Raw genomic sequence first — 12,799 nt, forward strand, 5'->3', positions numbered from 1 at the left:
GTTTTGGCATAAATAAATGAATAAATATAAAATTTCACCATTAAATTAATAAATATTTCTTGAGGATTTATAAGTAAATAGTAATAAATTTATTATAAATAAATAGTAAAATATCTAAACATTGTTTTGTAAATACTGGGATACAGCAACGAACAAAAGAGAAAAATATTTCACCTATGTGGAGCTTACATTATAGTGGAAGGAAAAAGATACAACAAAAATATGTAAGCACATTTAATATATGAAATATGTAAGGAAGATTGAGTTTACCAAGAGCTGGGCAAGACTATTACTATTTTACTTTAAGTGACCAGGGAAAACCTCATTTGACAGGTGACATTTGAGCAGAATATATGAATGAATAAGTTTAAATTTTAGCTGTCTTGGTACAACATGAGACACATTACATATAATTTAAACATAAAACAAAATTGGATTTTCTTTGATAAGAGTCATGTTCTCGAACAGTTATTTTTTTTTTTATTTTGTTTTTTTGAGATGGTGTGTTGCTCCATCGCCCAGACTGGAATGCAGTGGTGGGATCTTGGCTGACTGCAACCTCCGCCTCCCAGGTTCAAACGATTCTCCAGCCTCAGCCTCCCGAGTAGCTGGGATTACACACATGCACCACCATGCCCAGCTAAGTTTTGTATTTTCAGTAGAGATGGGGTTTCACAATGTTGCCCAAGCTGGTTTCAAACTTCTGAGCTCAAAGTGATCTGCCCGCCTCGACCTCCCAAAGTGCTAGAATTACAGGCGTGAGCCAACATTCCCAGCCTCTAAGAGATTTTTGTTGTTGTTGTTGTTTGAGATGGAGTCTCACTCTGTTACCCAGGCTGGAGTGCAATGGCACAATCTCGGCTCACTGTAATCTCTGCCTCCCAGATTCAAGCGATTCTCCTGCCTTAGGCTCCCTAGTAGCTGGGATCACAGGCATCTGCCACCACGCCTGGCTAATTTTTCTATTTTTAGTAGAGACAGGGTTTCACCATGTTGACCAGGATGGTCTCGAACTACTGGCCTCAGGTGATCCACCCGCCTCAGCTTCCCAAAGTGTTGGGATTAGAAGCATGAACCACCAGGCCCAGCCAAGAATTATTTTTAATATTAACAATGTATTATACTATGCTTTCTATTTAAAATAATCAAATATCATTGTATTATATTTTTTGACCTTATCCTGGAAAGCTAATGGGTGAAACGTCAGAGTGAAATGGTTATTAACATGTGTTTGAATTCGAATGCATTTATACCTCCCTGTGTGATCTTGGGTGAGTTACTGTACCTTTTTGGTCTCAGTTTCTTAAAGTGGGAATAAAATACAATGTCTTCTTCACATGGTTATTGTGAGGATTAAACAAATCAATAAATGTAATACACTGAGAACAATGCCTATAATAAGTGCCAGCTGTTGTTATTATTATTCTCATTTTCTAGTTGAGTAATTCTAGACGCAGAATGATTGCTGAAAAACAAGACTGTAAAATGTAAATTCCCTGGTTTCAGCAGGGAAGCAGTCTAATTGCCTTAACAAGCTTAAAGTCTATTTTTGAATCATTTCAACATTCACTTCCTAGCATCTCTTTTCATGCATTGTGCTTTCGTTAGAGCAATTTAAGTTGCTACTAACAGGATTTCAGGGTTAAATTCAACAGAATATATACGATTCTGCAAATGTTTTTTCAAAAAGATAGATGGGCAGACCCTTTCTTATTGCAGTTTTCTCCCATTTTCTTGTTTGTTTTTCAATTTTTAATTATATTTTTTAAAATTTTTGTGGGTACATAGTAGGCATATATATTTATGGGTACATGAGATGTTTTGATACAGGCATACAATGTGAAATAAGCACATTGTGGAGAGTGGGGTATCCATTTTCTTAAGCATCTATCCTTTGAATTACAAACAATTCAATTATATTCTTTATTTTAAAATATACAATTAAGTTATTATTGACTATAGTCACGCTATTGTTCTTGCAAATCATCTCATTTATTCTTTTTATTTTTTTGTACCCATTAACCATCCCCACCTTCCCCCGCCCAACTCTCCAGTACCCTTCCCAGCCTCTGGTAACCATCCCACTACTCTCTATGTCCATGAGTTCAATTGATTTGATTTTTAGATCCCACAAATAAGTGAGAACATACAATGTTTGTCTTTCTGTGCCTGACTTATTTCACTTAACATAATGATCTCCAGTTCCATCCATGTTGTTGCAAATGACTGGATCCTATTCTTTTTCATGGCTGAGTAGTACTCCATTGTGTATACATACCACGTTTTCTTTATCCATTCATCTGTCGATGGTCACTTAGGTTGCTTCCAAATCTTAGCTATTGTTAACAGTGTTGCAACAAATATAGGAGTGCAGACATCTCTTCTATATACCGATTTCCTTTCTTTTGGGTATATACCCAGCAGTGGGGTTGCTGGACCATATGGAAGCTCAATTTTTAGTTTTTTGAGGAAACTCCAAACTGCTCTCCATAGTGGCTGTACTAATTTACATTCCCACTTACAGTGTACAAGGTTCCCTTTTTTCCACATTCTTGTCAGCATTTCTTATTGCCTGTCTTTTATAGTAAGCCATTTTAACTGGGATGAGATGATATCTCACTGTAGTTTTGATTTGCATTTCTCTGATGATCTCAGTGATGTTGAGCACCATTTCATATGCCTGTTTGCCATTTGTATTTCTAATTTTGAGAAATGTCTATTCATTATCTTTTGCCCATTTGTAAATTGAATTATTAGATTTTTTCCTATAGCGTTGTTTGAGCTCTGTATGTATTCTGGTTATTAATTCCTTGTCAGATGGGTAGTTTGCAAACATTTTCTCCCATTCTGTGGGTTGTCTCTTCACTTTGTTAACTGTATCCTTTGCTGGATACTTGATGTGATCCCACTTGCCTTGGTTCCTTGTGCTTGTGGAGTATTGCTCAAGAAGTCTTTGTCCAGACCAATGACCTGGAGATGTTTCCTGATGGTTTGTTGTAGTAGTTTCATAGTTTGAGGTCTTAGATTTACATCTTTAATCCATTTTGATTTGATTTTTGTATATGGTGAGACCTAGGGGTCTAGTTTCATTCTTTTGCACATGGATATCCAGCTTTCCCAGCATCATTTATTGAACAGACTGTCTTTTCCCCAGTGCATGTTCTTGGCATCTGTCAAAACTGAGTTCATTGTAGGTGTGTGGATTTGTTTCTTGGTTCTCTATTGTGTTCTATTGGTCTATGTGTCTGTTTTTAGTTTCCTCAAATTTTGGATTCAAATTGTGACTCCTATTTAACTAAGGAATGATGTACAATTCTCAGCACAAATCTAGTGTATTTTACTGATTTACAGGAAGTACTAAAAATAAAATTATTTTTACTAACGGATGGTCTTTATTTCAGTTTATAATATATAGTAGAGTAAATATGAAAGAAATTTCAAAGTAGAGGCCATTCTTTTTCCAGAAGAATCACAGATTGCTGAGGATTTGGGCACCAGCTCTGCTTTCTAAACATTCACATTTCATGAACCTTCCAATAAGGTAGCTAATAGCTATACGTAGCTATTGAGCACATGGAATGGGCCTAGTACAAATTGAGATTATCTCTAAGTGTAAAATACACATTAGATTTCGAAGTCTTTGTATAAAAAATGAATATGTAAAATATTAATTTTTACATTAATTATATTTTGGGATCTTAATGTTTTGGATATATTGGTTTAAAATATATTATTAAAATTAATTTTACTTGTTTCTTTTTACTTTTGTAAATGTAGCTGTTAAAAACTTTTAAATGATAAATATGACTCACATTATATTTCTATAGAATGGCACTGGTCCACACAGCCTTAGTAAAACCTTTCTTTTTCTTTTCTTTTCCTCTCTCTTTTTTTTTTTTTTTTTTTAATATAGAGACAGGATCTCCCTCTGTTGTGCAGGCTGGTCTCAAACTCCTGCCTTCAAGCGATCTTCCTGCCTGGCCTCCCAAAGTGTTGGAATTACAGGCATGAGCCACTGCACCCGCCCAGTAAATCCTTTCTGATACACCCTTAGTACTTCCAACTAAGTACCAGTCATCATTTTCCTTCATTTCATGGGTATGGGGACAAAGAAAATGGCATATTCAGTTCCCAAACTGTCATTTCTGCCAGTCCTACCTAAAAAATTGGTCCATAGCCAAAAAGATGGTCTTACTTCATTTTGACTACGTTTACTATGCTTAAGACAAGGTGTTAGTTATTTCAGTACCCAAAATAAAGCTTTTCAGAATTTGTTCATACTTTTTTTTTAAGAGATGGAGTCTATATCTGTCACGCAGGCAGGAGAGTAGTGGCGCTATCTCGGCTCACTGCAACTTCCGCCTCCCAGGCTCAAGCAATTCTCCTGCCTCAGCCTCCTAAGTAGCTGGAATTACAGGCATGCACCACCATGCCCGGCTAATTTTTGCATTTTAGTATAGACAGGGTTTCACCATGTTGCCCAGGCTGATCTTGAACTTCTGACCTCAGGTGATCCACCCGCCTTGGCCTCCCAAAGTGCTGGGTTTACAGGCGTGAGCCACTGTGCCCGGCCTTGTTCATACTTTTAAGTTCATTTAACTTGATTTGGGGGCACAAAGTTCAGTGGGATGAGAAAGAGAATAGAGAAGGAGAAAAGACAGGGATACCTCGCCCATTTAAATACACTAGGAAATTAAACAATTTTAAATCATCAGATTACGGAGGACTACTTAGATGCTAACATATAATTTAGGTAAAGGTGGATGATAGAGGAAAAGATTCCCCAGGGTAATTACTTGGTTACTGACATATTCACCATGATTCACCAAATCCCACAGTAATTACACTCCTTCTCTTGGGTGTGTTCCTAACAAGAATCTATTAATTTGACTAAACGTCAAATCCACCTCGTACAGGGCACACTGTTGGGGGCACCACATAGAGGTAGCGGCCTCCTGTTTGGCGCTGCTGTCTCTTGCCCATGCTCTATTGTGAAGGGTTGTGGGGGCGACAGAGGACAAAGAAGACGCTGGAGAGGATTTTCCACCGACAGCCTAGGAAGGGATTTCCCTCTCTGCAGGAAGAAGAGGGCAGAGTCTCTTAAATCATCTTCGTGAAGTCCAAAACCCCTGGGAGTTTGAAATACACTTGACCCCATGAGTTTCAGATACAGGGTTGGAATCTTGCTGTGGGCTGCCACAGCTTGGGAGGCAAGGCAAGGAACTGGGCCCTTCATCTACTCACTTACGCTGCTCTGAGCCACTTTCCCAAAGGTTACTTTTTCCCTTCTGTGCTTTATTTGCGTATTCACACAATCATGCCCTAACTCGAAGACAACTCAGTGGGTGCTATAATGGTTGCCAGATATGTCTCAGATATTCTGGGATAATGCATGCTGTCTCTCTATGATGTGGGCCAGTCTTTGCAAGTCTATATACAATTATAGTAATTAGATTTACCTTCTCTAAATCTACTAACACAGAAAGAAGATATGTAGAATCTTTTTAGTATAACTGTAAAGAGAAAATGAATTCCATGAATTATGAAAAGAGTAGTGCGTGTAAATATGTGTTCATGTTAAGATTATAACTTATTTTGAGAAACTGTGCAACAATCTAATGTATTAAAAAGTTTATTTATCCTCAAATTTCCTACTAAGAATTATGGTTTAAATTCATTTTCCTGAAAGATTTCAAGGATCTGGGTAGAAATTGGCAATTAAAAATGTAATTAGATGTAATTTACCATAACTAGGACTTAAAAAAAAAACCTACACTGTTTCTTTAACACTTCTAATTATCTGGCTTTGGTGAAAGCATTTATGGTTCCTTTCTTGGAAACCTTTCCTTAGTAACTATTCACATACCACTCCAGATGGGTGTTTCATATTTGTTACTGCTTACTGCCCTTTGTACCTAAATTTCATTTTGCATAAAGCTAGCACATGAGAAAACTAATGAAAAGGATGTATAATTTCTTGTCTCTTAGAAAAATCCCATTTCTTTTCTCCTGAGAGTGAGTGAAATATGTAACTCTATATATAGTTTACAATATGCAGTAATTATATTCAAATGTCTTTCAAATTACTATTTTCTTCTGAGTACTATTGCTCTAGTATAAGTTCAGCACTCTAGTATAGCCAGCTTACATGATACACAAGCCGTAATGTACTTCCCAAATCTTGCATACCACATAGAATTTCTACATGCCAGTCTGTTTGGGACACCCTCATTCCTTCTGCCCCTATGGGACCATCTGAGTCATGACTTGAAAATCCAGATGAGGTTCCCTCATGCTCAGGGTCCCTTGAAAATGCCACGTTCCCCAAAGAAGGTGACACCTGAAGCTACCGCTCCACTTTCAATGGCCAATGACTGTATCCCATTGCTTGGTGTGTGGAGAGCCATATTTCTGAAAGTTCCTTGACTCTGTGACAGGTCTGTCTCATTTTCCCCTTTGAGCTTCCACCTGCAGCCTGAGTTTGCCACTGCTTCCCTGTCTCAATCGGGGTTCTTCCTCCAGCAGTAGATCTGGGAGCAGCTTCAAGAAAGGTTCATCAGACATTTTCTCCTAACACTTAAACCATCTGACACCATCAGATGGGTTTCTGGATAATGAGCTTTTAATTGGCTCATATGTTTTTGAAAATGTCATCTTTTTGCCGTTAAACTTGATTCTCTTACCATTACGTTCTTCTTTTGGGAGTGAATTCAAATGAGGGCTGGTTTAATTGGGTCATCTATCCTAAACCTCCATGAATGACCAGAGAAAAGGCACTCCATGCATAAATAATTTGTTGATGATGTATGAGACCCACGTGCTTTTTTTTTTGTTATTGTAATAGTGTTGTTTTGGTTTTGTTTGTTTCTTTCTTTTTTTCTCTTCTTTTCTGTTTTTTTTTTTTTTTTTTTTTTTTTTTTTTTTTGAGACGCAGTCTCACTCTGTTGTCCAGGCTGGAGTGCAGTGGCGTGATCTCGGCTCACTGTAAACTCCGCCTTCCCGGGTTCAAGTGATTCTCTTGTTTCAGCCTCCCGAGTAGCTGGGATTACAGACGTGGGCCACCACGCCTGGCTAATTTTTGTATTTTTAGTAGAGATGGGGGTTTCGCCATGTTGCCAGGCTGGTCTCAAGCTCTTGGCCTTAAGCAGTCCTCCTGCCTCAGCCTCCCAAAGTGCTGGGATTACAGGCGTGAGCCACCGCACCCGGCCTGTTTCCTTCTTTCTATTAGCTAGTTTTCTTTGTGCCTGAGCTTTACAAGAACATATGAGAAAAGTTCTGCCCTAACTCAGGCACCCTTAGACTGGCCTATCTATACTTTCTTGTGGGTTTTCTTTTGCCACAACAACATCGCGTTCATTCAGCTTGAACAATCGCAATTGCAAACATGGAGCATGTCAGCCGTCGCCCGGGGAGCGCAGTGACCCAAGAACTCAGTTCGACTCTGCTTATCTGGGAGGCCCACTCAGTCTGGCAACAGGAATCCTCTGCGCATTTCTCCTCAACAAAAATCAGCTGTACAGGCTCCTTTATCCATTTATTTTTCTGGATCACAAAGTTGTCTCTAAAGCTCCAAATAATAATTTCTGGAGGATACCTTTTTATGTGGTAATGTTTAATTGGGATATAATTCATATAACATGAAATTCACCATTTTAAAGTGGTTTTTAGTATGGTTAGTTGTTTTTAGTAAATTTGCAATGTTGTACAATCATCACCACTATATGATTCCAGAACATTTCCACCATTCTGAAAAGAACCTCTATACCTGCGAGCAGTCATTTTCCATTCCCTGCTTCCCCCATCCCCTGGAAGCCTCTAGTTTACTTTCTGTCTACGTGGATTGCATATTCTGGATATTTCATATAAAAGGAATCATACAATACTTGGTCTTTTGTGTCTTGCTTTTGTTCCACTTAGGTAACGTTTTCAAAGTTTATCTATGTTGCAGCATGAATCAGTACTTCATTCCTACATGAATAATATTCCATTTATGGCTGGATAGTATTTCATTTATACATACACCATATTTTATTTATCTATTCCCAAGTTGATAGGCATTTGAATTGTTTCTTTTTTTTTTTTTTTTGGCTATTTTGAACTAATGCTGCTATGAACATTTGTGTACAAGTTTCTGTGTGAACATATATTTTCAATTCTCTCATCTATGTACCTAGAAGTGGGATTGCTGGGTCACATGGTAACTCTAGTTTCACTTTTTGAGCAAATGTCAAACTGTTTTCCACAGCACTACCATTTTAAAATCCCAGGAAGAATGTATGAGCATTTCAACTACACAGCATCACTTGTCATTATTTCTGTTTTTAATCACAAGTGTGCAGTAGAATTTTCCATGACATCATTGTTTTATCAGCTCATGGAATGTGTACTTGTGTATTCTCATGTTTCACAACATTCTCAGACTTAATTTATAACATATTTACATCTAATATACATACATATCTCATATATCTAGCTAGCTTGCTAGCTCTCATAAAAACAAAGCCAGAATCTCTTAGGGATTCTCAATAATTTTTGTTTTTAGAGTGTAAAGGGGTCCTTACACCAAAAAGTTAAAAAATGCTCATCTAAAGAGATTAAGCAACATAACTATGTTTTCTGTGACGTGTTTTATTTCTACTATTCTGGAAAGAAAACAAAAGATTTTTTTAAGAGATTGGGTCTCACTATGTTGTCCAGGCTGACCTGGAACTCCTGGGCTCAAATGATCCTCCCAGCTCAGCCTCCCAAGTAGCTGAGACTATAGGTGCACACCACTGTGCCTGGCTATATATATATATATATACATACACACACATATATATACACACACACATATATATATACACACACACACATATATATACACACACATATATATACATACATATGTATATATATATATTAAATTCTAGGGTATACAGTTGCATAGTTGTTTAAAATTCATTAACCTGTAAGAATTGCCCAATTCATAGAATTATGTGAAACTTTTGTAAGATTTGATGCCTTACTGTATTCATGTTATACTTCAATTTAAAAGTAGTTTCAAAACATGGACATTAAATAATTCTGGTGAGGAAAGGAATTAGAAAATAAATAGCTCTGCACTAATCCCAGATAATTGTCCAGGTTAAGATTTTTATAAAAGCATAAGTGATTTTACAAAACCAAATTTTACCTCCCTGCAATTATTATCTCATTCCTAGAGAATCTTTACCTTAGAACTTCCCTCTCAGAAACTAAAGGAGAGAGTATTTCAAGAATGATGGGAAGGTTCTCAAAAATAAAATTCTGCCAGTGTACTGATACATAAACTGGATTGCTATTTAAAAAAACGGAAAAGATTCATGTACAGAATAGAGAAGACAGGACCTGCAGTAAGAAACAAATTCATGAAATTATATTTTTGGTTTTAACCAGCTTGTTCTGTCTGTCTCCTACTCTAACCTGACTTGGACTATGTGACACAGAGCAGCACTTTCCCCAGAAAAAGTAGTTGCTAGAAATAAAGCAAGCTTTAAGTTTTATTTCAGTGACGATCTGGCCCAAACTGATGGTGACTATGTAGAACAGGGCCCTTCCCACCCCTCTAACTTGTTAAATAGTTCTAAGATTGGAGGAGAGAGAGACAAGGAAGAGGAAGAATACAATTAGAAGTAGTGGCTGGGCATGGTGGCTCACGCCTGTAATCCCAGCACCTTGGGAGGCTGAGGCGGGTGGATCACCTGAGGACAGGAGTTCGATATCAGCCTGACCGACATGGAGAAACCCCGTCTCTACTAAAAATACAAAATTAGCCGGGCGTAGTGGTGCACGCCTGTAATCCCAGCTACTCAGGAGGCTGAGGCAGGAGAATTGCTGGAACCCGGGAGGTGGAGGTTACACTGAGCACAGATCGTGCCACTGCACTCCAGCCTGGTGACAGAGGCAGACTCTGTCTAAAAAAAAAAAAAATAGACGTAGTGTATGGACCATGTGCTCTGCCCCCATCTCCATCCTCCAGAAGAAATTGGGAGTGCCCAGTGAAATCTTTTTTAAAATTTGAGGATCTGAAGGAGAGAAGACCTGGGTTATAGCCTAGGGTAAGAAATAGCCAGCCTTGAGAGAATGCTTACCCCTGCTCCATGCCATTCTGGTGTAGAAATGATGACAACGTATATACTCCTCAACAGGTCACTTCATTCAACTCCATAGCTCCAAACTGTGGCTGACGTACCAGCAACTACCAAATGCCATCTATCTCCAGGCCAGACTTCAATTCGTAGTTTTAGACACTAAGATACCCAACTGCCCACTCAACACATCCATTCAGGTCTCTCACAAGCACCTCAATTTCAACATGTTGAAAACCCAATTTATAATTTTCCCTGTGCAAACTGCTCCCTTGCCATTGTTTGCTATATAAGTCAGTAATATCATTTCCTAGCTCAGTAAAATTGACATCTCCACCTAGATGTTTAATAGGCATCTCAAATTTAACAAGGACAAAAATAACTCTTTACTTTTGGTACTTATTATTTATTATATCTGTTAATGGTACTACAAGACACCCAATTGCTTAGGCAAAACTTTCATTGCTGTATTGGATTTTTCTTTTTCTTTTCTTTCTTTCTTTCTTTTTTTTTTTTTTGGAGACAGAGTTTTGCTCTTGTTGCCCAGGCTGGAGTGGAGTGGCACAGTCTTAGCTCAATGCAACCTCCACCTTCCAGGTTCAAGTGATTCTCCTGCCTCAGCCTCCCGAGTATCTGGGATTACAGGCGCCACCATGCCCGGCTCATTTTTGTATTTTTTGTGAAGACAGAGTTTCATCATGTTGGCCAGGCTGGTCTGGAACTCCTGATCTCAGGTGATCCATTCGTCTAGGCCTCCCAAAGTGCTGAGATTACAGGCCTGAGCCACTGCACCTGGCTGGATTCTTCTCTTTTACTAGCTCTCCACCCACAGTTCCAAAATAAAACTGTAGCTTCTGTCTTCACTTCGGAGATCTGACCACTGCTTTCTACCTCCTCTGCCACCAACTAGCTCACATTAGCTTTTGCTTGGGCTGAACCAATAACCTTGTAAACATCTCTGGACTTCCACTGTAGGAACCATCTATCCTCCCTACAGCAGCCAGAAAGAATTTTTAAAATACTGACCTTTTCAGAGGCATTTCATTACACATGGGAGGAAATAAAAACCTTCCTCTGGCTTTCAACGTCCCTATAATGTGGCCTGTCTCGACTTCTTTAAACTCACTCCACTTTCCATTCACCCACTAGATACAGCCACACTGGCCGCTCTGTTCCTGGGGTTGTCAGATAAGGATTCCCGTTAAATTTTTTTTCAGTTAATTGACTTTTATTTTTACAGCAGTATTTGGTTTACAGAAAAACTGAGCAGAAAGTACAGACAGTTCCTATTTACCCTCCCCAATCCATATACAGCTTCTCTTATTGTTAGCATTTGGCATTAGTGTGATACATTTGTTACAACCAATGAACCAATATTGACACGATATTATTAACTCAAGTCCATAATTTACATCAGGATTCACTCTTTATGTTGTACAATTCTAAGAGCTTTGGCAAATGTGTAATGACATGTGCTTATCAGCTGTTTGTTTATCTTCTTTGGTGATTACAGTATTTATGCAGCATAGTTTCACTGCCCTAAAAATTCCCCACACTACTCATTCAACTCTCTTCCCACTCTCCATCAATCCCTGGCAACCACTGAACATTTTACTGTCTCTATAGTTTTGTCTTTTCCAGAATGTCTTGTAGTTGGAAACATACAGTATGTAGCTTTTCCAAACTGGCTTCTTTTGCTTAACAATATGCTTTGAAGGTTTCTCTATGTCTTTTTGTGGCTTGCTTGACAGCTCATTTCTTGTTGTTGAATAATATTCCATTGTATGAACAAACCACAGTTTGTTTATCCATTCACCTATCGAAGGACATCTTTTTGCTTCCATGTTTTGGCAATTATGAATAAAACTGCTATAAACATTCATGAGCAGGTGTCTTAGTCTGTTTTTGCTGCTGTGACAGAACACCTGAGACTGGGTAATTTATAACAAACAAGTTTATTGGCTCATGGCTCTGGAGGCTGGGAAGTCCAATATCAAGGTGACAGTATCTTGCAGGGAACTTCTTGCTGCATCATTATATGGTGGAAGAGATCAGATGGCAGAAGGGCAAAGAGAGGGAAAGAGACAGAGAGACAAATGGGGGCAAACTCATCCTTTTATAAAGAACCCACTTCTGTAATAACAAACCCATTCCAAAAATAACCACATTAATCCATTCATGAAGGCAGAGCCCTCATGGCCTAATGACCTCTTAAAGGTCTCACCTGTTAATACTGTTACAATGGCAATTAAATTTCAACATGAGTTTGGGAAGGAACAAACATTCAAACCATAGCAGCAGGTTTTCGTATGGACATAAGTTTTCAACTCATTTGGATAAATAGCAAAGAGTGTGATTGCCAGATCATATGGTAAGACTATGTTCAGCTTTGTAAAAAATTGTCAAAATATCTTGCCAAGTGGCTGTACCATTTTGTATTCCCACCAGCAATGAATGAGCGTTCCTGTTGCTACACATCCTCACCAGCATTTGCTGTTGTCAGTATTTTGGATTTTAACCATTCTAATAGGTATATAGTTTGTTTTAATTTGCAATTCCCTGATGACATGACATTGAGCATCTTTTCATATGCCATTTGCCATCTGTAAATCTTCCTTAATGAGTGGCTGTTTAGATCATTTACTCATTTTTAATTAAATGGTTTGGTTTCTTATTGTTAAATTTAAGGC

At 38.2% G+C, this 12,799-nt stretch overlaps 1 long non-coding RNA gene across 4 annotated transcripts in view; it reads left to right on the forward strand.

The window, feature by feature from the left end:
- Positions 1 to 12,799, forward strand: part of LOC105379301 (uncharacterized) — a 53,655-nt gene that overhangs the window by 19,233 nt on the left and 21,623 nt on the right. Inside the window, exon 3 of one of the 4 annotated variants that reach the window (NR_188135.1) lies at positions 3,914 to 4,053. The exons of the other annotated variants lie outside the window; for them this stretch is intronic. This is a non-coding gene — a long non-coding RNA (uncharacterized LOC105379301). Of the gene's footprint in view, positions 1 to 3,913; positions 4,054 to 12,799 lie in introns of those variants that run through there. 4 annotated transcript variants of the gene reach the window in all.

This window comes from Homo sapiens, chromosome 8, assembly GCF_000001405.40.
Source record: "Homo sapiens chromosome 8, GRCh38.p14 Primary Assembly".
Lineage (NCBI taxonomy): Eukaryota > Metazoa > Chordata > Mammalia > Primates > Hominidae > Homo > Homo sapiens.